The sequence below is a fragment of the Homo sapiens genome, chromosome 9 (assembly GCF_000001405.40).
Source record: "Homo sapiens chromosome 9, GRCh38.p14 Primary Assembly".
NCBI classification, from domain to species: domain Eukaryota; kingdom Metazoa; phylum Chordata; class Mammalia; order Primates; family Hominidae; genus Homo; species Homo sapiens.
In genome coordinates, this window is record NC_000009.12 from 88,099,603 (window position 1) to 88,125,300 (window position 25,698).

Below are 25,698 nucleotides of genomic sequence, written 5' to 3' on the forward strand. Positions count from 1 at the left end.
CTAATCCCAGCTACTCAGGAGGCTGAGGCAGGAGAATTGCTTGAACCCGGGAGGTGGAGGTTGCAGTGAGCTGAGGTTGTGCCCCTGCACTCCAGCCTGGGCAACAGAGCGAGATCTGTCTCAACAACAACGACAACATAAATGAAGTGTCAGAAGCCTCATTATAATTGAGGTTCCCTAGAACAGAGTTTTTGAGGAGATTTGCACACCAAGATCTTTGAGGCACCCTCATGGGAATCATCCTGTGAAGGAATGTGGGTAGCAGAAGGGAAGAGGCAGAGTTGGGCTGTGATGTGGGTGCAACAGCAGCCTCAGTGGACCATAAGGAGTTCTGACCTGGGATGGCTTTTCTGACTGCCCCCCAATGAAAAGAACATGACTTGAGTGAGGCAGCGTCTTTCTGCTGAGGGCAGTTCCCGAGGAGGGAGCCATTAGCAACCGATACTCCCAGCAGCCAGAAAATGAGGGCCTTCGCCCTGAGGGGAGATCCACCATTTATTTTATATTGTTTTTGGAATATGGATATGAGAAAAGAAAAGGCAAGACTGGAAGCCCCACCAGACAGAATGAAAGCAGTAGGGCCCAAGGCACAATCCAGTGGGTTCTGTGGATGCCTGTCTCCCCAGTGAGGACTGGAGAAGGGTCTCTTGCAACTGCCCCACCCCATAAACAGAATTCTTCTGTGTTATACTCATCTGCTTTCACCTAGCAGATACTTTTCCATATTTTTAAAAAGAAAGTTGTCATTTTATTCCTTCACTCATTGAACCTCTGTTATGTGTCAAGCGCTGTTCTAAACACTGGAGATCCAGTAGTGAACAAAACAAAAATTCTTGTCCTCCTGAGGCGCTAGAGATTTATTTCAAGGAAAAGAAGGGTCTCTTGCAACTGCCCCACCCCATAAACAGAATTCTTCTGTGTTATACTCATCTGCTTTCACCTAGCAGATACTTTTCCATATTTTTAAAAAGAAAGTTGTCATTTTATTCCTTCACTCATTGAACCTCTGTTGTCAAGCGCTGTTCTAAACACTGGAGATCCAGTAGTGAACAAAACAAAAATTCTTGTCCTCCTGAGGCGCTAGAGATTTATTTCAAGGAATTGATTCATGCAATTGTGAGGACTGACAAGTCCAAAGTCTGTAGGGTAGGTAAGTTTGAAATTGTAGGGCAGACTAGGAGGCTGGAAACTCAAGCAGGAGTTGATGCTACAGAATTTATTCCCTTTTCTACATTTTTTTAAATGACAGTTTTATTTATGGTCTTGCTGAGTACAGAATAAGAAACTATTATTTTAGCAATTTACTAAAACTTTGTTCTGATGTGCTCTTGAAGTTACTTGAGTGCATATTTTTTTCTCTAGGAAAGATACATTTGGTATATCAAATTAAATCCCCCCATAATAGTCTCTGGAAAAGAAAATGCAAGTGAAAACATGTTGGTGCTCCGGAACTTCAGCAGGTGGATACTGCTACAGTCTCATGCGAAGGTGGGTATTTGGCAAGCACTTAGTTACTTTTTTTTTTTTTTTTTTTTTGAGACGAAGTTTTGCTCTTGTTGCCTAGGCTGGAGTGCAATGGCACGAACTCAGCTCACTGCAACCTCCGCCTCCCAGGTTCAAGTGATTCTCCTACTTCAGCCTCCTGAGTAGCTAGGATTATAGGCACCCACCACCACATCCGGCTAATTTTTTATATTTTTAGTAGAGATGGGGTTTCTCCATGTTGGCCAGGCTGGTCTTGAACTCCTGACCTTAGGTGATCCACCCACTTTGGCCTCCCAAAGTGCTGGGATTACAGGCATGAGCCACTGTGCCTGGCCCTTAATGACTTTTTTAATGCGTCCCTAGGGGTTATTTTGAAGAAAAAAAAATTTAATTAACAACATAACAGAATTAGTTTAATAAGTGAATTGTTATTAACATCTGTCTTCTCTTTTTAGTTAAACAAGAACACATATTGATCTTTCAAAACTTTTAATGTGATGAATAAGACCTATAAAATAATATAATTCAATCAATGCATTTAATACCTCCTCTAACAATAACCATTTGTATTTCTTTGCACATAAGGAATACTTTTAATCTGGAAGTATCAAAATATTCAAGTCAGTTGCTCAACAAAAGAATATTTCATAAGAAACTATAGGGAAGGGAAAACTGTTATTTTTTTCCTCTGCTCATCTTAGGTTCATTGAATGGGGTCCTGCAAATTAGACTGATAAAAGACAGATTAGCAAGAGGAAAACGAAGAGAAGTTTGTTAACATATGCACCATGTATTCACATGGGAGCACTCAGAGATGAGTAACTCAAAGGAGTGGTTCCATCGTGGGTTTATGTGGCATCTTCATAAAGAACAATACATTTGCAGAGAAGTAATAAGACAAAGGAAAAAAACCTTTGAGTTTCTAGGGATGGCCAATCACGAGGGGGTAAATCTACAGGGAAGCTAATGGACAGTAAGTGCTAGTTAGCGGGGTTTGTTTGTCTAGGCTCTTTCTGGGTGCCATCTCATCTCCAGTGATAAGGTCATTATTCCCTTCTTGACACAGGAATGGGGAGGGACTTCTTTTCAAGGGGAATTTGTATTTTACTTTTCAGGCATAGAGAGGGAGGGCAAAGGGCTCATCCTGTGTCTGCTTTTTCTCAACTGCCTTTAGCTCAGAATAAATCCAATGCTACAGTGGCATGTTTTGGAGCATCATACTCTGAACCCCCAAACTCTGAACCCCTTCAAAAGCATACATTTTTTACTTTCTGCTAATGCTTATAGCTGAAGTAGTGTCAGCAATTAAACTCTTAGATCTAAGTATGCAATCTCCATCAATTTACCCGATGACTTTTTAGAAGTTGATGTCTGGGCCGGACGCAGTGGCTCACGCCTGTAATCCCAGAACTTTGGGAGGCTGAGGCGGGTGGATCACCTGATGTCAGCAGTTCAAGACCAGCCTGGCCAACATGGCGAAACCCTGTCTATTAAAAATACAAAAACTAGCTGGGCGTAGTGGCACATGCCTGTAATCCCAGCTACTCAGGAGGCTGAGGCAGGAGAATCACTTGAACCCAGGAGTCAGAGGTTGCAGTGAGCCGAGATTGTGCCATTGTACTCCAGCCCGGGCAACAGAGTGAGGCTCTGTCTCAAAAAAAAAAAAAAAGAAATTGATGTCTATTATCCAAGACAGCATGAATCCAAACTCAGTGTTTTTTTTTTTAGAAAAATCAGAATCTATTTTTAGTATGAACCTTCTCAGTTTTTACATGTTGACAATTATTTGCCTTTTTTCAAAAGCACAGTGCATGACAAAACTAAATGAGGCTCAATATGCAGTGTTCCCTTTATCTCTTCTCACTGCAGCTGAAGTGGGACAGAAAGATGAGCGACTGCTGCCCAGAAGCCTCACCTATCCATGGAGTCCCAGGAAGCTTAGAGGAAGGGCCCCTGACCATGGCTTATCTGGGAAGCTGATGACATAGCTGGAGATTCTCCGGTTATCCTTCTGGCCAGCCTCATAACAGGATAGATTTTCTTCATATAATTTTAGGAACTTCATGTAATTTTAGGTCATCAGCTTAAACCTGAGCTTGATGAAAGCTTTCTGAAGTGGTTCATAAAATACCTGTAAAAATATAAAGTATATAAAGCACCATGGTGCTGCTCAGAGAATCTGCATCCTGGATACACTTAGATGCTGGTTGGGGCAGGCAGCTCCACATAGACAGCACAGCACTGACAGCTGCATGCTCCGTGAGTCCTTCCATCTTCCATCTTCCTCCTCTTTCCTCATATTTCCACGTGCATCAGAGGTTCAGAGGTTCTTTTTTTTTTTTGGAGTCTCGGTCTGTCCCCCAGGCTGGAGTGCAATGGCACAATCTGGGCTCACTGCAACCTTTGTCTCCCGGGTTCAAGTGATTCTCCTGCCTCAGCCTCCCAAGTAGCTGGAATTATAGGTGCGCACTACCGCACCCTGCTAATTTTTGTATTTTTAGCAGAGACGGGGTTTTACCATGTTGGCCAGGGTGGTCTTGAACTCCTGACCTCAGGTGATCTGCCCACCTCGGCCTCCCAAATTACTGGGATTACAGGCGTGAGCCATCGAGCCCAGCCCAATTAAAAAAAATTTTTTTAAATAGAAACAGGGTCTCACTTTGTTGCCCAGGCAGGTCTCAAACTCCTAAGCTCAAGCAATCCTCTTTCCCCAGCTTCCCAAAGTGTTGAGATTACAGGTGTGAGCCACCACACCTGGCCTCATAATACACAGTGTTTTTGAGATTTATCAGTGTTGTTGTATGTATCATAGTTAATGATTTTTATTGCTCAGTGGTATTTTATTGTATCAACACACTCTAGTCAGTTTATCCATTTCAGTAGATATTTGGGTTGGTAGATATTTGAGTTGTTTCTGACATTGGTGTTTTTCAGTGCATAGTATGGAAAAGACTGATGTAGCAGAATTTTACAGAAACACGCACATGCACACACAGAAACCGCAGTAGTTTGTAACATGGTTCCCAATGGAAACTGATGAGAAGGATGGTTTTTTCAGTATTCTCCATATAGATACACAACAAGAGAGATCTGTAGTCATCTTTGCAGTGGTCTGTTACCCAGGGAGATATTTTATGCGGAAGAGTAGTTTTTTTTTTTTTAGACGGAGTCTGTCGCCCAGGCAGGAGTGCAGTGGCATGGTCTTGGCTCACTGCAACCTCTGCCTCTAGGGTTCAAGCAATTCTGCTGCCTCAGCCTCCCAAGTAGCTGGGATTACAGGCACGTACCACCACGCCTTATAACTGGGGCCAGAAGTTTGAGAACAGCCTGGCCAACGTGGTGAAACCCCATCTCTACTATAAATACAAAAATTAGCTGGGTGTGGTGGCGGGTGCCTCTAATCCCAGCCACTCCGGAGGCTGAGGTAGGAGAATCGCTTGAATCCGGGAGGCAGAGGTTGCAATGAGCTGAGATTGTGCCATTGCACTCCAGCCTGGGCAACAAGAGCCACATTCCACCTCAATAAAAAATTAATAAAATAAGATAAATAAACAAATAATACATGGAAGACAAAATAGAGAAAACTCAATAAAATTACAAATTGGTTTTTTGAAAAGATCAAAATTGATGAATCCTTAGACTAAGAAAAAAAGAGAAAAGGCTTAAATAATTAAAATCAGACGTGAAAGAGGAGACATTACAACTAATGCCACAGAAATAAAAACAATTATGAGAGACTACTATGAATAATTATAAACCAACAAAATGGATAATCTTGGTAGCTTACAAACACGCAATCTACCAAGTCTGAATCATAAAGAAATAGAAAATCTAAAGAGACCTAAAACTAGTAAGGAGATTGAATCAATAATCAAAAACCTCTCAACAAAGAAAAGCCCAGGACCAGATGACTTCACTGGAGAATTCTACCAAATATTTAAGGAAGAATTAATACCAATCCTCCTAAAACTCTTTCAAAAAATTAAAGAGGAGGGAGGGAACACTCCCAAACTCATATTTATGAGTGCAGCACTACCCTTATACCAAAGCCAAAGATACTACAAGAAAACTGCAGACCAATATCTTTAATGAGTATTGATGCAAAAATCATCAACAAAATACCAGCAAACTGAATTCAACAGCACATTAAAAGGATTACACGTCATGACCAAATGGGATTTATTCCTAGAATGCAATGTTGGTTCAAAATGCAAAAGTAAATCGACATCCAAAACCAGACTCTTGTTCTTGTCCCCAAACCTGCTTTCCAGCAGGATTCTCAGTCTCAGAAAGTGGCACCGCCATTCACGCTACTGCTCAGGCGAAACCTCTGCATCATCGACATCTGTGTTTGTTTCACACTCAATATTTAACCTGCTCGCAAATCCTTTCAGCGTTCTCTTCACATATATCCAAAACCCAGAATCTCTTCCCTTCGCCTCCATTGCTAGCCCTCAGGATGGCATCATTGTCTACTCTTCTGCTCTTGGCTATTTGCGTAACAGACAGAGTAATTCTTTCAAAATCTGAATGTGATTGTGATACTCTTCTGCTCAAAACTGCCCAGTAGCTTCCCATCACACTTAGAAAAATTCGGGGTCCTCACTGTGGCCAACATAATGTTCCATGACCTGGTCATGGCTTCCACTTCAGCCCCCATCAGCAACGCCTCACTCCCTCATTCTACTTTCGGGCACCACCTCCTCCCACAGCCTGGAAAATGCCCCATGTGCTTCTACTTCAGGACCTTTGTATTTGCTGTTCCCTCTGCTGAATGATCCTCCTAGATCTCCACATTTGCTGATCCTAGGCCTGAAAATTTCCTCCCAGACATCTACATGGCTCAATGCCTACACTACATTCAGAAATAGCTAGCAGAAAGGTCTTTCATGACCACCCTGTATAAAACAGCACCCCATCAGTATCTCTGCATTTTATATGTTAAATTTTTCTTTGATATCATCCCCTGATGTTACTTATTGTACCTATCATTTTATTTATTTATTTATTTTTGAGACGGAGTTTCGTTCTGTCTCCGGCTGGAGTGCAGTGGCGCGATCTCGGCTCACTGCAACCTCCGCCTCCCACGTTCAAGTGATTCTCCTGCCTCAGCCTCCTGAGTAGCTGGGATTACAGGTATGAGCCACCATGCCCGGCTAATTTTTGTATTTTTAATAGAGACGGGGTTTAGCCATGTTGGCCAGGCTGGTCTTGAACCCCTGACCTCAGGCGATCTACCCGCCTCGGCCTCCCAAAGTGTTGGGATTATAGGCGTGAACCACTGTGCCCAGCCTAATGTACCCATTATTAAGTGAGACTATAGGGTACAGAAAATACATTTTGCCTGTGTCGATATATTTCTGTAGTGTCTGAAAAAAAAGTGCCTGACGCTTAGTATATGCCGGACCAATTACTTTAATGAGAGGATGGCTTTCTCTTTCCCATCTTTTACCACACTGGGCGTGGACTAAGCAAACGGGGGAAAATGCAGTAGTCAGAGGCAGCAGCAGATGGCACTGTAAAGAAAGGTGAGCATTAGATTTTGGACAAAATTGAGTAGTCTGTAGAAACCACGTGTAAAAAGCAAATGAGGCTTGCTGTAAGACATCACCATTCCCCTAGCCAGTCTCTCACCCTTAAACTGCAGGAAATCCTGGTGTGAAAGGTTAGTGCCAGTGACCAGGAAAGCTGAGCCGCTCAATTTCCCATAACCACATCAAAGCAGGGGCATGGTTAATAATATTATCAACCTTTCTTACCTTGATGCTCTATAAGGAAATAGCTAACACATGTTAATAAGAGTTGCCTTGAAAAGATCTTGTCCTAAGAATGCTGCAAAGCCCCTGTGAATGTGGAAATGGAGCGAGAGGATGGTGCAGGCATTTTGGCAGCATAGGTACCTTAGAGTCCTTCTTAAAAATGAAGGTGTTGACATCTTGATTCAGTTTTGAAAACTTTTTATGGTTAGTCTCCTTTGGGGATAAGTGAAAAGAGTGTGTTTTTGGGATAAGACTCTTTTCCTTTGTAAAGCCATTGTTTTAGAGTATCTGGAAACAATTCTGTGTGCTTTTTCCAGGTGGGAAACAATGGGGTGAGGGGTGGGGGTCATGCACAAACACTTATTTTTTAAAAGACTCCCCTCGCATGCAACACTTCTTGGGAAGCCACTGCATAGTTTTCTCCAAAAAAAGTGAATGTGTAAAGCAACAAAAAGAAATACACTGGAGCTAAGAAAAAAGGATTTGGAAAGAGAGTCAAATCCTCATTTTCATACTAAAACACAGTAAATGATATCTGAGATAGAATAATCAAGAAATAGCAATATAAGTATGTTATTTAGCAATATGGAGACTAAGACCAAGAGAACCAGCTAAGAGAGCTAAAATTACTACTTTGCTGTGGTGGCCAAGTGTCCAGGCTTGCTCAGGACTGTCAGTCCCACACTCTGGAAAAGTCCTCAGTCCTAGGATACAAGACATCTCAGTTTTTCATGATGGATGAGGAAAGTTGAGGGAAAAGTACAAAACTCATAGAGCATCCTAAAAAATAGGGGCTGAGTACAGCACAGATCCCCTGCTACCATGGCCATTGCCCACTGATGTTGGCACCCACGACTTGGGGTTCCCTGCAATGGGGCATTAAGTGAGGAGCGAGTGAGGTGACTGATGTGACTTAAGGGTACAGCAGTTCAGGGAAGTATTAAGAAAAATGAAACAGAAAGAGTAAAAATATCCCACTGTCTCATGGTACAGAAAAAAGATGTCATTGTTGTTTTCAACTAAATATAGGTAGTCTCTCTTTAGTTAGTCCTATTGTACATTCTCCTTGTTAAAACATTCACATGTATCTTGAGAATACACAATTATATGACCTACAAAATTTATTAAATGTAATAAAGAGTAAAATAAGTTGTCAGAGAATAAAAAAATTATGAAAATATTGTTATATTTTCCTCACACATATTTTTTGTTTAATCAGCCCTACTACTAATTGCCACTGTTAACTAGTTCTATTGTTTTTGTTTAAATAATAAATTCATCATTTCACTTTGTTTAAATGATAGCATTTATGTAACAGAAAAGTAAATAATATGTATCATTTCAAATAAACACCAATTTTTCTCATCTTACATAACATAAAGTTTAAGTAACCCAGGTTAGCACTCTAATAATCTGGTTGCCCTCATCTGGGGAGGGAACAGAGGGACAGGAGAAATGGGAGATAACTTGTTTTCCTTTTCTAGTATGTATATAAATTATTTCATTTAAACTTAAAAATTTTAAGTGTACCATGGTTTAAGAAGGAAAATCTCTAGAACTGTTGTCACTAAAAGTACTGTATACTTCAAAATATGAAAAACGCAGACAAAGTGAGTTAAAATGAATTTGCTGAAAGACTAAGATGAAGGTAGTAGTCAAAGCTAGAAAATAAAAATAGAGTCTGCTGAAATAAGGAGAGGAAAGGATTAGTAAATATAAGAACAGAAATCAGAGAAAGAGAAACCAACAAACCAAGCGGACAAACCAAAATGAAAGACGATTCTTTAAAATGACTGATTAACTCATGGGAAAATCTGACATGAAAATTAATTAGCTGATAAACTAAAAATTGATACATTTGACTTAAAGTTAAAAAATTGAGTACTACAGAAGACATGCTAGACAAACTAAATATAGGAGACATATTGAGAGGTGAAGGGAGCAGGACTTCCTGGGTTGAGTGGGGACTTGGAGAACTTTTCTGTAGCTAGCTAGAAGTTTGTAAAATGCACCAATCAGTGCTCCGTAAAAATGCACCAATCAGTGCTCAGTAGCTAGCTAGAGGTTTGTAAACTGGACCAATCATCACCCTGTAAAATGGACCAATCAGCACTCTGTAAAATGGACCAATCAGCAGGACATGGGCGTGGAAAATAAGGGAATAAAAGCTCGGCCACCCCAGCCAGTAGTTGTAATCCAGTCCCCTTCCACCCTCTGGACTGTTTGTTCTTTTGCTCCTCACAATAAATTTTGCTGCTGCTCTCTCTTTGGGTCAGTGCCACCTTTAAGAGTTGTAACACTCACCATGAAGGTCCACGGCTTCATTCTTGAAGTCAGTGAGATCACGAACCCACCCAAAGGAACCAACTCCGGATGCAATATCGAGAAATAGATTTGCAACAGCAACAATAAGCAAAAGCTTGGTATAAAAAGATCTGAAGAATTCTTACACATCAATTGGACAAAAGCAGTCCAACGGACAAAACAGACATTTTAATCTTAAAAGAAGAAAACTCATGGCTCAATAATTGAATAGACATTAAACCTCACTAATAATTGGGGAAATACAAAATGAAACAAAAGGAGATCCATTCAAACTCATAAGACTAGCAAAGTATTTTAAAGGAATTTAGTATATCAAATGATGTCTGGAATATGAAAAAGCAGAAATTCTCATTTTGCTAGTGGAAGAACCACTCAAAAGAGTAGTTTGGCAACATATAGAGGAGTTAGAAACATCTTTTCCTTATGACCAAGAAAACACCTGAAAAAAAACTTGCACATGTGTACCAAAAGATGTGCACAAAAATGTGTTCATAGCAGCAGTGCTATTCATAAGAGGGAAAAGCCCCAGGGACATGCAAAAATGTCTAAAAGAAGAAACAGATGAATAAATTATAGTCATATAGTAGAATATTTCAGTAAATAAGAGAAATGATCCAGAACCATGTGTATCAACATGCATACATTTTACACAAATAAAATGGATAAAAATGTTTCAAAATGAAACATAAGGTGTGATACCATTTATGTAAATTTTAAAGTAAATTTTAATTGAAATAATGGTATAAATATTAAACCGTGCAAAATAATATTTTGCAAACAGAATAAGGCTAAAAAAATACCAAATTCAGAGTAGTGGCAGCTTCTGGGGATTGATGTAGGGGAATGAGGCTTAGAAAATTAAAAATAGAGATTTCAACGTTCTCTCCAATGGTTTTATGTTCTTTGATAAATGTGTCCGAAATGAAATGTCTAGATTTGTTTTTCTGTGTAATAAGTACAAAAGTATTTATGACATTATTCTCTGTATCTTTATTCTCTGTATCTCCCTATAATTTTTAATTATAATTTAATTAAAAATTAATTAATTATAATATAATTTTTAATTATAATTTAATTAAAAATTAATTATAATTTAATTTTTAATTACAGGTGTGAGCCACCGCACCCAGCCCCAAATTATTTTCAATGCCACTTTGGTCATATATAAAATTTCCTTATGATTGTGATTCTGTTCCTTAGCCTCTATTCTCTTCTCTTATACAACCACTATCTTTGCTCTATTATCACCTATCAAATTTATTATAAACTTAAATCATGCCCTCTCTGTGCTAATTTTTGCCTTGTTCTCCTTCAAAATTGTCTTGGCTATGTTTGGCCCTCTTATCTTTCATATAAAATTTAAGATATTTTTGGAATTTCCATAAAAATGTCATTATTTTGACAGAAATTGTATTGCATATATGATCATATTTGAAAACCAAAATCTTTATGTTACTGTCTTCCCATCCATGATCATCTATCATAACTTTATTGTTTTTCTTTTAATACCTCTGACTAAAGTGTTATATATTTTGAACAGTCTAAATTTATCATGCCATGTATATAATAGATTGATCATGTGTTTGTTATTCTAAGTATCTTTTTAAAAATCTACTTAATGTAACTTTTTGCTGGTATATAAAAATGCAACTGATTATTCCTGGTATGTTTTCCTCTGACTACTTTTAAGATCCTCATTGTCTTTAGTCCTCCCCATCTTATTATGTTTTTTTTGAGACTGAGTCTTGCTTTGTCACCCAGGCTGGGGTGCGGTGGCGTGATTTTGGGTCACTGCAACCTCTGCCTCCCAGGTTCAAGTGATTCTTGTGCCTCAGCCTCCTGAGTAGCTGGGATTACAGGTGTGTACCACCATGCCTGGCTAATTTTTGTATTTTTAGTAGAGATGGGGTTTCACCATGTTGGCCAGGCTGGTCTCGAGCTCCTAATCTCAAGTAATCAGCCTGCCTTGGCCTCCCAAAGTGTGAGATTATGGGCATGAGCCACCATGCCCGGCCTAAGATGTGTGCTTTTTATTTCACGTTTTTAATATGTTTTTGTGCCCTATGTTCTTAATACACTCTGAAGCACTGTCAGTCTTCATCTCACACCTAGAGTTGCTCTGTTTTCCCAGGCTCCTCGTTTTTTCCCTCAAAGCTACTCCTTTTCCTTTGCTATCTATCATTTATACAATGTCCAGAGTGAGATTTTTAAAATGCAATTCAGATAATATCATGCCCCTGCTTAAAAGCCTGGGAACGATTTCCTTTGCATTTAGGGTTCTTAAAAAAATCTTTATAGTAGCTGACGAGGCCCAGCCAATGTCCACACCCTTTCTTTGGCATCCTCCTTTGTTTTGTGATTTAGTCCCACTGACCTCCTTCAAATTCTTTCCAAAAAATTCCGGTCAGGCCATTCACTCTCTGGTCTGTTTGGGCCACTGCTCCTCACTCACCGTACCTGCCTCATTTGTCTTTATTCTTCATGTTGGAGCTAAAGTATAACTTTCTTAGGTGACTTTCTCCATGGAACCTACTATTATAATTCACTGTCCTTGTTAAACTCCACATAACACCCTGTTTTTCCTTTATAGAACCTACTGCATATTGTGATTATATGTATATTTGTGATTACTAATTTGTTTCTTTCTCCTTCCTTACCACAAATCTTAAGACAAAAATTAGCCTTTTAAGGCCAGGCATAATGGTTCATGCCCGTAATCCCAGCACTTTGGGAGGCTGAGGCGTGCCGATTATGAGGCCAGGAGATCGAGACCATCCTGGCTAACGCGGTGAAACCCCGTCTCTACTAAAAATACAAAAACATTGGCCGGGTGTGGTGGCAGGCGCCTGTAGTCCCAGCTACTCAGGAGGCCGAGGCAGGAAAATGGCGTGAACCCAGGAGGCAGAGCTTCCAGTGAGTCGAGACCGTGCCACTGCACTCCAACCTGGGCGACAGAGCGAGAGTCCGTCTAAAAAAAATTAAATTAAATTAAAATTTTTTAAAAATGAAGAAACAACCAGAGAATGGAAGCAAGTATTTGCAAACTATGCATCAGACAATGGGTTCATCCACAAAATATATAAAGAATTCAAACTACTCAAAAGAAAAAATACAAACGATCTTATTAAAAAAATCTACCCAAAACCTTTGTCCCCCACCATCATTTCCCTACACCTTCTTTTCCCGACCACCTTTGACCCCCTCCCTCTGGCCACCCTTTTTCTTCCTCCATCTGCCCCCAAACTTCTTCACCATTTTTCTCCACCATCATTTCGCAAAGCCTTCTCTACTCTCCTGCTCAACACCCTTTTCCCCATCCACCGACCCAAACCCTTTCCCCACTGTTTCTTCCCACCGTCTTTTCCTCTTATCCCTGGCCACCCTCTTTTTACCCTTCCCGCATCACACTCTTTTGCTCCTTCATCTAAGCAAAAACATTTTCCCCCGCCTTTTCCCAAAACCTTCTCCCCACTCCTGCTGCTCACCACCGTCTTTTCCCCCTTCATCCACCCAAAAACTGTGTTCTTCATCGTCTTTCCCCCCGTTCCTCCTTGCCATTTCTCTTTCCCTTCTCCATCTACCCAAAAACATTTCCCCCATCTTTTCACAAAGCCTTCTCCCCACTGCTGCTCATCTTCCTCTTTCCCCCCTCCATCCACCCCCCAAAACTTTCCCCACCATCTTTTCAAAGTCTCCCCCCTTTACCACTCGTGCTCTTCTTTCCCCAATCCTGCTTGCCATCCTCTTTTTTGTCCTGTATCTACCCCAAACTATTTTCCCGTCGTTTTCCCAACCCTCTAATCCCTGCTCCCTCTCCCCACCCTCTTTCCTCCTCCTCGTCACTCTCTCCCCCCTCCATCTATCGAAACACTTTTTACCCACCGGCTTTCTGCAAAACCTTCCCTCCCTCCCGCTCCCCACCCTGTTTTTCTGCCTCCATGTACCCAAAAACTTTTTTCCCCACCATCTTTTCGCCGCCATCTTTTTGCAACCCCTTCTCCTGCTATCCTTTTTTTCCCCTTGGCATTAACTACCCTCTTTACCCCCCTCCAACTATCCCAAAACTGTTTTCCTTCTTCTACCTCTCCAGCCGCGCCATCTCCATCGCTGCCAACAACCGCAGCGAGGCAAGCCACGCTCCCGCGTCTCCAGCCTCCAGCATACGGCCAGTGACTCCCGATTCCTAGTCCTCTACGCCGGGATGCGACCACCTCGACACGTCAGTACGGGAACCTGAAAAGACCAGATTTCTTTTCAGCATCATTTATATACTGCCGTTATGCCCACGGAGGATCCTGGACTGCATGTTTTGATTGGATGAGAAAAAAACCTCCAGGCTTACTCTGATTGGACTTCATGATCATGTTCTGATTGGATGAGAGCAAGTCTTAACAACCAACCACAGCATGAAAATAAAGTCCAATCAAAGTAGGCCTAGAGGTTTTTCTCTCGTCCAATCAGAACATGTAGTCCAGGAACCGCTTTTGCATAACCTCAGTAGATAAAGCATGCTGAGGTCATGTCAGATCATTTCAAGCTCTTCTGTGTCGAGCTGAGGAGCTGCTCTGTGCCCGGCTTACAGAACTGGAAGGGGGAGCCACCTTCCGCCTGATGGAGGCTGGAGAACGGATGGAACCTGGATCCCTGGAGCCTGGGACACTACCTCGCTGCGGTTGGTGGTGGCCACAGACCAGTAGGAGGGCGGCTGGCAGCGGGAGCTTCTTCTGCCGGGCTGGAGGACTAGGAGAAGGGAGAGGGAACGCCACATGCTGGAGGCTGGAGCCTGTGCCACCGTGGCTCACCTCGATGTGGTTGGTGGCAGCTCGCCTTGCTGTGGTTGGTGGTGACGTCGGAGACTGCAGCTCGGCCACAGTGGTAGAAATGTGTTGGGGTAGGTGAGTGTTCCGGGGCTGCCCTGTACGTCTCTGGGGGCAAGGGTTGGGTGTCCTATTGGGGCTCACTGCTAGAGGCTACACTGCCTGTGGTAGTGGTCTGGTTGGGGGCACTCTCCGGGGTTGCATTGCTGGTGGTGGGGCAGGTTGACTGGCTATCTGGGGCTATGCTGCCCGCGGTGGCAGGAGTGGTGGCGGGAGGCAGGTTGTGTACACTAACGTGTACTGCTGGTGGCTGGGGAAGGGTTAGGGGTGCTATCTTCTGCTGCACTTCCCGCAGCAGGGGGTGGGTTGGGTGGCGTTACCCAGGGCTACAATGCTGGCAGTGGGGGGTGGTTTAGGGGCGTTGTTGGGTGCTGTACTGCCTGTGACTGGGGGGTGCGCCATCAGGAGCTGAACTGCTGGGGTGGAGTGGGGGGAGGCGGGTTTGGGATGCTATCCAGTGCAGCAACACCTGTGGCTGGGTCAGATTGTGGGCACTATCGGATGGTACACTCCCTGCGGTGTGGGGGGAGTGCTTTGGGGGGGAGTATTGGGGTTACATTGCCTGAAACTGTAGGGTGTGTTGGATGTGCTATCTGGGGGCTACACTGCTAGTGGCAGGGGGCAGATTAGGGGTGCTACGGGGGCTACACTGCCAGCGGTGCTGGCGAGCTGAGGAGGTGGCAAAGGCAGCAACAGTAATGGCCTCCTTCTTCCTTCTGGTGGCTTCCAAGTAAGGGATCGTTCTCTTCTTGCCGGACTCCAGACTCTAGAAGGAGATCTTCTCCTGCTTGAGCTAGATTGCACCGCAGGGCCCCCACACCCACTGTGATTTCCCGTCCCGCCCTCATGCTCTGTGTTGCAGAGACCACCTGGGACTACTGGGCAGGGAGTAGTAGGCACCACGGGGGAAGTGGGGGACAGGGCACTGTGGGTGGAGGCGTCAGGAATGGGAACCAGCCCTTGGGTGGGGAGGGCTGGCTGGGTCTGAGTTTCTCCTACTCAGGCTCCCCGAGGAAGGCAGCCCTGGTGGGCCCAGTAATTCCTGGCCGGGTGGACCTGGCCAGGGGCTGGTTTCAGTGAAGGCACTCACTCCCACCCCAGGCCCCAGTTCCTGGCCAGCTCTTGCCAGAAGGAGAGGCTGGACTTTGGAAGGTGGGTGTGAGTGCCTTCAATGAAACTGATCCTTGCCACCCAGTCACCAGTGTGACAAGGTGAGGCTCTAACGGTTCCACTCCCTGAATCCTGTTTTGGGCTTTTCGGGCTTTGCCTGCCCAGCTGCTCCAAGCCAGGCTGAAGGAGGAGAAGGAGGAGTTGCCTGTGGTACGGTTTAGCCTGCAGATGACGTGGTTCTGCAGCTTGCCTCATGTGGTTGGTGGTGGTGATGGAGACTGCAGCTCGATCAGAGCGGTAGGAGGACACCCACGGGGGCCAGGTGGTAGGAGCCTGGTAGGGTGGGCTGGTACATTGAGGGTGACGGTGGTTGTATTGGCATCGGCGCTAGTGGTGGTAGCAGTAGGAAGTCTGGGGGCCAGGAAGGGGGAGTAGGAGCACTGCAGGGCCCATCCCGTTCTGGGGTGGGGAGGAACCTGTGGGTGCTGTAACGAAGGCCTCGGTGGCAGTGGTGGTGGTACACCTAGGGTCTTACTCTACTTGATTGTAGTTTGTCTGTGGTTCACATCACTTTTTTTTTTTTTTTTTTGAGACAGTCTCGCTCTGTTGCCTAGGCTAGAGTACAGTGGCACGATCTCGGCTCACTGCAACCTCCGCCTCCTGGGTTCAAGTGATTCTCCTGCCTCAGCCTCTTGAGTAGCTGGGACTACAGGTGCCCACCACCACACCTGGCTAATTTTTGTATTTTTACTAGAGATGGGATTTCACCATATTTGCCAGGCTGGTCTCAATCTCCTGACCTTGTTATCCACCCGCCTCAGCCTCCCAAAGTGCTGGGATTACAGGGGTGAGCCTCCATGCCCAGCCTATACCACTTCTAAAGTTTCTTTGCATCATCTTAACTCTTTCCACCCATAATCACAAGTGAATGACAACCAAACACTTAATGACATGTAGATATTTATTATTTAATAGAATCCAAAATAAGTGCATTTTATGAATTAAATAAACAAAACACTGAAAGGTTCATTTCCATTTTTCTGTTAAAGGCTTTGTGCTTGGCCAGGTGTGGTGGCTCATGCTTGTAATCCCAGCATTTTGGGAGGCCAAGGCAGGCAGATCACCTGAGGTCAGGAGTTTGAGACCAGCCTGGCCCACATGATGAAACCCTGTCTCTACTAAAACTACAGAAATTAGCCAGGAGTGGTGGCAGGCACATGTAATCCCACACACAGCAACCCCATTACTATACTAGGGGTATACCTCAAGGAAAATAACTCATTGTAACAAAAAGATGCATGCACATGTATGTTCATTGCAGCACTATTCATAATAGCAAAGACATGGAGTCAATCCCGGTGCACCGAAGATAGATTGAAAATCCAAGGTAGATTGGAAAATTCCATATATATACCATGGAATACTGTGCAGCCATGAAAAGAACAAAATCATTTCCTTCGCAGCAACATGGATACAACTGGAATCCACTATCCTAAGCAAACTAACGCAGAAAGAGAAACCAAGTGTCTCGTTTTCACTCATATGTGGGAGCTACACATTAGGTGCACATTGGCATAAACATAGGAACAATAGACACTGGGAAATAAGAACGGGGATGGGCCAGGGTTGAAAAACTACTTCTTGGGTCCTATGCTCACTACCTGTGTGATGGGTTTAATTGTACTCCAAACCTCAGCATCCCTCGATATACCTTTGGAAGAAACTTACACAGGTACCACTTTAATTTAGAATACAAACTAGAAAAAAAAAAGAAAAATTTACTATAAAAAATTTTCTGTAAGTAAATATAAATTTCTTTTTAAGAAAAAATTACTGAAGTAAAAAAATGGATTAAACTTTTACAAAGGACAGAGTTTTGCTAAGAATTTCAAAGCAATGCATTCATTGCAAAATATGACTTTAATTGTTTAACTTTTCTTTTCTTCTTTTTTTGGAGATGGAGTCTCGCTCTGTCACTAGGCTGGAGTGCAGTGGCACGAGCTCAGCTCATTGCAACCTCTGCCTCCTGGGTTCAAGCAATTTTCCTGCCTCAGCCTCCCGAGTGGCTGGGACTACAGACATGCACCACCACACCCAGCTAATTTTTGTATTTTTAGTAGAGTCGAGGTTTCACCATGTTGGCCAGGATGGTCTTGATCTCTTGACCTCATGATCTGCCCGCTTTCGCCTCCCAAAGTGCTAGGATTACAGGCATGAGCCACCGTGCCCGGCCATTATTTAACCTTTGTACTAATAAAACAACACCTTTCTAAAATTATGTATATCCAATAGACCAATATTATCTATTTTTGTCAGATTACTCTAAACAGCATTGCACAGATACATCCTCTATTATCTAAACTTAAAATAAGCAGGAATTTTACTTTATTTATGTGATTACTTTTCTTTTTAAGCAAACTTCATGTTACGTCTAGTCCCTAAAAATACTAAAGGCCACATTTTGTAAGTGATATATTATTCTCATGATAATGTCTCTTGTTTAACTTAAACATTATTATTTTTTTAATGTATTTTAGATGGAGCCGGACTGTGTAGAACAAATAATTACAGAAACAAAGAAAAGTATGTTTCCAAAATTTATTAATTAAATTTAGGTTTATTTTAGTAATAAAGTGTAAATAGCAAATGGCATTCCTTTTCATTATTGGGTTAGTAGATACTACGTTCAGTATCTTTTCCTTACACACATCTAGTGAAAGATGTGAAAACAAAAACTTTCACAGTGAAGAGTATACTCATGTACCATTAATTCATCATGTCCGATAGCTTAAAAAATTCCCAAGAAGTGTATCCATCTCTTTTTTACTGGCTCTACAATTTCTTCACTTTTGCCATCCTCATGGAACTGTCAGCCAGCACGTTGAAAGGATTCTCTGAAAACAAAGTCATCATCAGGTTCTCTGGGTTTTGGTGGAGTTGAAGACCAACAGACCTCAGACTCATTTAGAAATACTTAGTTGAGGAAAAACCCTTCATAAGCAGTGGCTTGACAGGTGACATTTTAAATCTCCTGTCATTTACTGTGCCATTGGCTTACATCTGTTCTCAGGAAAAGTTCCAAAATTTTCACCATGAAATAAAAACACCTGTGTCAATGTAATTCTTGTCAGGTTACTCAGCCTTATCTCTCGCCGCTTACTGCACTCTGCCCTTTGCTCTAGCACCAAAGTGGGCGGAGTAGAACTCTGTAGGGCTCTTCCTCACCTCAGGCTCTTTGCCTTCGCCTCGTCTCTCTATCTGGCAAGCTTTTCCTTGTCCTTCAGGTATCAACCTATTTATCTCCTCCACAAAGCCCATGATATTGACACAAAAGTGGGGTAGATGTCCCTTCTGTGTTTTCCAGTAGTGCCCTGCTTTATACCTGTCATAGTGTCTATGACTCTATACGGACATTGCCTGCCTGTCTGTTGTTTTAGGTTATAGCATATGACTGTTGAGAGGTGGACCATGCCATCTTCATATTGTAATTCCAGTACTGATTCTAGTGCCTTAGCACGTGGGTGTTGAGTACATGAATAAAGAATGGAAAAGCTGTGATATTTAACCACAATTAGAATTAATGCCATGCGTTAATTATTTAATAGTAATTTTGTATTGTAATTATACGTACATATTTCTCATTCTTTTTAACTCTGATAACGTTCTCAACTCTTTAGATTTTAAACTCACACTTAGTTAACTGAAATGTTTTGGGTAAAGAACATAATCCTTTCTTTTTCTTTCCAGCTTTTGCTGTGTTGGGCACTTGCTCCCATCTGCTTGCTTCTCTAGAATCCACTGGTAAGCCACATCTAATAAAGAGAATATTTAACCATAAAATCTTAAGGAAAAGTTGTGTGATTTAAAAGATCATAAAACTTTATTACTGGGCTATTGACATGAAATTTTAATTGCTTCTCATAAAATATATAACATCACAATCTTTACTAAAGTAGAATATTTTCATATCATATGTATGATGAACATTTAGTATGGTATTTTAAATGATGTTTTTTAGCCCCCTTAAGTTTTAAGTGGATCTTGCAAATGAACACCAGTATTATGGAGTTTGACATACTCAAATTGCCCAAATGTCAGCTGTTTAAAAAGCCAAACAACCAAGTCATCCTTGATACTTTAGTAAAGGTCATCGAAGCCTTCTTTGCATTTTACAGGTTTTATTACTATATATAGTAGGAGACTTAAAGAGTACCTGCCAGGTTTGTCCATACTAATGTTATGAATTTCTTTTTGTAGTTCAACCGTATTTTGTGTGGAGATACTTTGAGGCTCTGTAAATATCTGGTTACTCCTAAAAACCCACTAGATTCGGTATTTCATTGATGTCTTGTCTTTGAACAAGTATTACTGTGATGGTTGCCAGATGATTATTTTCGTATTCTCTTGTTTGTTCTACATGGAGAAATAAAACCAATAAATAAAGGAGAAGGGAAAGCTCATGATTCTGGTGCTCCAATTCCCCAAGATGAGGCCAGTGGTAGACATTTCTTTATGTCTGACTTTATGTCTTTTTGATTTGTCTCTGTTACTCTTGTCAGCACTTTTTTACTTTCTGGCACAAGATGTTCCAAACTAATCTTGTATTTTCTCTGTTCCAGCCCTAGAATGAGTAATTTTTCTTAGAAGCAGAGTTGGAACCACTGAGGAAGCACAGGTGAGCCCTCCCCAGCACACACTCGCTAGTCCCCAACAGAAGAACTGTTGCTGCATCCATTGAGGTACCAAGAAACTAGCAAAGGGCCTTCTGGCTGTCTGGGGACAGTCCTCATGTGGTCCCTGGCTCAGCCTCAAGGGTTCTGGATTAATTTGTCTGCAGCCTCTGTGCTGTGTCTCTAGATCGGGGCTCTGTGGGAAGGGCCCTGGGAGACCCAGCAGCACAGGGTGTCTCGTCTGCCAAATGTCCCTCCCTTCTCCCACTCTGACACTCAGGAATAGGGTAGATGGCATGTCCAGGCAGTGCCAGGCCACCTCATTGTCTCCTTTGAGATGGGCCCAGAGGGCCTTGGGGGGCGAGTGTGAAGCTGGGTACCTGGAGCCTGAGGCTGACTGTCCCTTCCTATGTCTTGGAGGAGAGGCCTTGGGGCCCAAGAAACCCCCCCGGGCCTGATCTCTGGGCACACATGCAGGGAGGGAGGGTCTGTGGGCTGATTGGGGCATTGTAATGAGACGTTGAGCACCACTGCACAGGGGCCTCGTCAGTGGATCATGGTCAGAGATGACCTAGCCATCAGGACCTGGTCAGTTGGGACCAGATCAGCAGGGACCTGGCTAGGGGGTGGCCTCCTCAGTGAAGGCCTCACCAGTAGGGATCTGGTGACCTAGTCATTGGAAGCCTAGTCAGTGGGGACCTGGTCAGTGGTGGCCTTATTAGTGGGGCCTGATCGGTTGGAACATAAACAATAAAAAACTGGCCGGTGGGGTCTATTCAGTATATTAGGGGTCTGGTCAGTGTGGGGCCTTAGTGGCTCGGAGCCTGGTCAGTGAGGGCCTGGTCAGAGGGGGCTCGGTCAGCTGGGGACTGATCCATGGAGAATTGTTCAGTGGGGGTGAGGTGAGGGGCAACCTGGTAAATTGTGGTCTTGTCAGTGGGAACCCAGTCAGTGGGGTCTGGTCCGTGAGGCCTATTAATAGGGACCTCTTCCTGGTTATGGAGACATGGCCAGTGGGGACTTGGTCAGTGGGACCTGGTCAATGGAGGAGTGGTCATTAGGGGCCTTGTCAGTGGGGACCTGGTTTGGGGGGCGCCTGGTCAGTAGGAACCTGGCCAGTTGGCCGCTGTGTGACCTTAGGCAGGGGGTTTGTGGAGCCTCCTTGCTTCCATGTGTAGGAAGGTGAGTCAGGGCACCCTGGAGCGTTGCTGGAAAGAGAATGTGAGAAGATGTGTTGAATTCAGCACTGCTTGGCAGACCTCCAACTTTACACACAACCTGGGTTCCACCTAGAGAGGGTACCAGCCCGCTCTACTCTGCTCGGCGCCCCTCCTCTGTCTGCATCCCCAGTACCACACTCGGTGGGGAGGGCAGAGATTGGGGAGCACCTGTGGATTCTCTAATCCTGGTCCTGGGGCCCTGGTGGTGATAGTGATGAGGACCTGGGTGCACCTGTGAGTGGAGCAGCTAGGCCAGGCCAGAGAAGCAAGACAAATACACCCATATGCACATAGACACATGCATGCATAAACACATTGCATGCACACATGTGAGTTCAGGGGATAGAGGACACTGATTCTGGGCCCTCTTGACCCAAGCAGGCTCCCGTTGTGGTGTGTTGTGTCACCCCACGATGTCACTGTTGCTGAGCCCCCATTGCCTATGCGTTGTGGAGCAGTTAGAGACACACAGCAGTGTCTGTGAGTGGCTCTGCATGAAGGGCCATTTTCTAGGTGAGAGGCACATCTCAGCACAGCTCACTGATCAGACTTAGGTGAGTGGAACCTGCTCTCTTCTCTTCCTCCTGGCTTAGGGACAGTCGCTATCAGGTGGATGGTTTTGGCCTCTGGGCAGCTACTGAGGGTAAACCCTGAGCACTCACCAGGTGCCTGTTCTGTGTTGACAGTCATCTGATTCATCCTGGTAGCAATTCCATTCTGCATCTCTTCTGGACACCCACAGGACCACCAGAACAACCCCATCATGGCCCTGTCACCAGGCCCAGTTTGGCTCCATGATAACCAAGACGCAGGTCCAGAGACAACCGCCCTGCTTGATGCCTGCATCTGACCTCCCTTGGTGGGTAGTGATGAGCACAACATGGAAGAAGCCAGGGCAGCTTGTGGCCAGCTGCCCTACAGCCCCAGATGGCTGGGGACTAGGATTCCAAAAGGATGATTTTGGAGCTGTAGGATTGAATGACTGGCCTGCTGGGTTTTGGATGTTCGTGTATCCTATGAGTCCCATCGGTGTTTGTTTTTCTTTCAGGCAATTTTTCTTCTATTGGCTGGGAATGCTTACCCATTGCCTGTACAATCATTGTACCTTGGAAGTAGTTAACTTGCTTTATAATTCAGAGGCTCATGGGCAGAAGGGACTGTATCCTTGTCCCAGATAAAACTTTGGGCTTTGGACATTTGCTGGAATGAGTTAAGATTTGGGGGACTGTAGGGAAGTCATCATTGTATTTTGCAACGTGAGAAAGACATACGAGATTTGCATGGGCAGGGACAGAATAATATGACTTGGCTCTGTGTCCCACTGCTGTGAAATTGTAACGGGAAATGTTAAAGGTGGTGGGGGCTGGTGGAAGGTGATTTAATCATGGTGGAGAGTGGAGGTTGGAAGGTGGGGGTGGTGGGGAGAATTGGGGGGAATTATGGTGGGGTTGGGGGTGAAAGGCAGGGGTGGGGGTGATCCTTCACAAGTAATTAAACACCATCTCCTTAATGCTGTCCTTCTGATAGTTCTCTTCATAATTTCGTAGCTGTGAGATTGAATACTGGTCTGCTGGGTTTTGGATGTGCATTGGGCCTGTGGTCCCATTTGTGTTATTTTTCTGGGAAATTTCTTCCCTTTGGATTAAGAAAGCTTACCCAATGCCTGTACCATCATTGTACCTTGAAAGAAAAGAACTCCATTTTAACTTCAGGGACTCATAGGTAGAAGATACTGTATAGCCTTGTCTCGGATGAGACTTTGAACTTCTTATAGTTGAGTTGATGCTGGAATGAGTTAAGGCTTTTGGAAACTTTTGAAAAGGCATGATTGTGTTTTACCCTGTGAGAAGGACATGAGATTCGGAAGGGTCAAGGTCGGAATAATATGGTTTGGCTGTGTTTTGCTAGAAAAACTCATGTGGAATTGTAATCCCGAATTTTGGTTGTGAAGCCTGGTGGGAGGTGATTTAATCATGGATGGGAGGTGGGTGGGGGTGTAAGGAGAAAGGGGTGGGGAGGAGTACGCTGGCTGTAGGGTGGTGGGAGGGTGGTGGGTAGTAGGAAGGGGGAGTAGCCTGCTGCACAGGTAGAGGCTCATGGAAAACCTCTACTAGGGCAGTGCACCTGTGGCTTTGCTGCTCTCATGGCTGGGCTGGTGTTGAGTGCCTGTAGCTTTTCCATGCAGAGGGTGGGAGCTGTTGGTGGGTCTATGACTGGGGTCTGGAGGATGATGGTATCCTGTGTGGGAGCTCCAAGCCCATATTTTCCTTCCGCACTTCCCTAGGAGAGGTTTTCCCAGAGGCTCTGCCTCTGCATCAGGCTTCTGCCTGGAAACAGTGGGAGTTGGGGGTGGGGGGCGAATCCTTCATCAATGGTTAAGCACCATCTTTTTGATGCTGAGCTTGTGATAGTGAGTTCCCATGAGATCTGGTTGTATAATAGGGTGTGGCACCTCTTTCCTCTCTCTGTCTTGCTCCTACTCCTGCCACATGAATCATCTCATTGCCCCTTGACATTCTGATATGACTGGGTGGCTTCCTGAGTCCTCCCAGATTCAGAAGCCACTATGTTTCCTTACAGCCTGCAGAATCATGAGATTCTTTATGATCATAGAGAAAATTAGTACTGGAAAGTGGATGTATGAAATGTCTTCAAGGCCTTTTCCCTGTTGTCTTGGCAATCAGCACTCAGCTTCTTTTCATTCAAGTATCTGAAGCCTTGAATTTTCCCCCTGAAAATGGACTTGCCTTCCTTTACCACATTGCCAGGCTGTGACAAAGATAGGTGATAAAGTAGAAGCAGGTTCAGAAGGGGGTAGCAGACAGAGGTTGGGAGAGTTTGAAGGGCTTTGAAGACAGGAAAATGAGGAAAAGTTTGGATCTTTGTAGAGAATTGTTAAATACTTGTGATCAGAAGGCTGACAGGAAAATGGTCAGTGAAAGCCAGACTTAGAAGGTCTCAGATAAAAATGAGGAACTTATTGGGAACAGAAGCCAAGGTTACCTTTGTTTTGCTGTAGCAAGGAATGTGGTGGCACGGTGACCCTGCCCTGGAGATCTGTGAAACTTTAAACTTGAGGGTGATGACTTAGTACATATTTGGTGGAATGAACTTCTAGGAAGCAAAGCTCAAGAGGTGTCCTGTCTGCATTGAACAGCCTGTGCTCTGATGTGTGACTGAGGAAATGACCTCTGGATGGGACTTCCATTAAACAAGTCCCAACTCTTACATTAAATAAGAAACAGAACTCAGAAGTTTGGAAAATTTGCAGCCTGGCCAAGTGGTCAAAAAGAAAATCTGATTTTCAGGGAGAAAATTCAGGAAGGCTTCAGAAATTTGCATAAAAAGGAGCCCAGTGCTAATAGCCAAGACAATAGGGAAGAGGCCTTGAAGGCATTTCATAGAACTTTGCAGCAGCCCTTCCTGTCACAGGCCCTGGGGCCTAGGAGAGAAGAATGGTTTCCTGGGCCAGTCCCATGACCCCCCTCTATGTGCAGCCTCAGGGCACTGCTGCCTGCATCCCTGCAGCTCCAGCTCCAGCCATGGCTGAAAATGCACAGATGCAGCTTGGGTCACTGCTTCAGAGAGTGCAGGCTAGAAGCCTTGGTAACTTCCTCATATTGGTAAGCCACTGGGTGGACGGATCTTGAGACTAGAGGCTTGGAAGCCTCTCTGTAGACTTTGGAAGATGTATGGAAATGCCTGGGTGACCAGAAAAAAGCATCCCAAAAAGGCAGAGCCTCATAAGAAACCTCTACTAGGGCAGTGCAGAAGGAAAATACGGGGTTGGAGCCCCCACACTGGAGGCCACCATCATGCAGACCCCAGATTCGTAGACCGACCGATAGCTTGTACCATCAGTCGGGAAAAACTACAGGCACTCAACACCCGCCCAGCCCATGAGTGCAGCCGTGGGGCATAAACCCTGCAAAACCAAAGGTGCAGAGCAGCCCAGGGCCTTCAGAGCCCAGCCCTCACGTCCCTGTGCCCTGGATGTGGGACAAGGTTTCAGAAAGGATGATTTCGGAACTGTAGGATTGAATGACTAGCCTTCTGGGTTTGGAGTTTCATGGGGCCTGTAAGTCCTGTGTTTTGTTCTTTCTGGCAGAATTCTTCCTTTCGGCTGAGAATGCTTACGTAACATTGCCTGCACAAGCATTGTACCTTGGAAGTAGTTAACTTGCTTTATTGTTCAGAGGCTCATGCACCTAAGGGACTGTAGCCTTGTGTCAGATGAGACTTTAAGCTTTGG

At 44.0% G+C, this 25,698-nt stretch overlaps 2 long non-coding RNA genes across 3 annotated transcripts; one reads left to right on the forward strand and one right to left on the reverse strand.

The window, feature by feature from the left end:
* Positions 1–6,882: 6,882 nt before the first annotated feature.
* Positions 6,883–13,862, reverse strand: LOC124902202 (uncharacterized). Of its 2 annotated transcripts, XR_007061648.1 has the most exons (3): positions 13,652–13,862; positions 9,549–9,611; positions 6,883–7,001 (listed from the first exon to the last, which is right to left on the reverse strand). It is a non-coding gene; the product is annotated as an uncharacterized LOC124902202 (long non-coding RNA). The 2 variants fall into 2 exon arrangements; XR_007061649.1 differs by lacking the exon at positions 9,549–9,611.
* A 236-nt stretch (positions 13,863–14,098) lies between these two features.
* On the forward strand, positions 14,099–22,124 carry LOC124902203 (uncharacterized). Its single transcript, XR_007061650.1, has 4 exons — positions 14,099–14,460; positions 18,094–18,139; positions 19,304–19,357; positions 20,176–22,124. It is a non-coding gene; the product is annotated as an uncharacterized LOC124902203 (long non-coding RNA).
* The last annotated feature ends 3,574 nt before the right edge of the window (positions 22,125–25,698 follow it).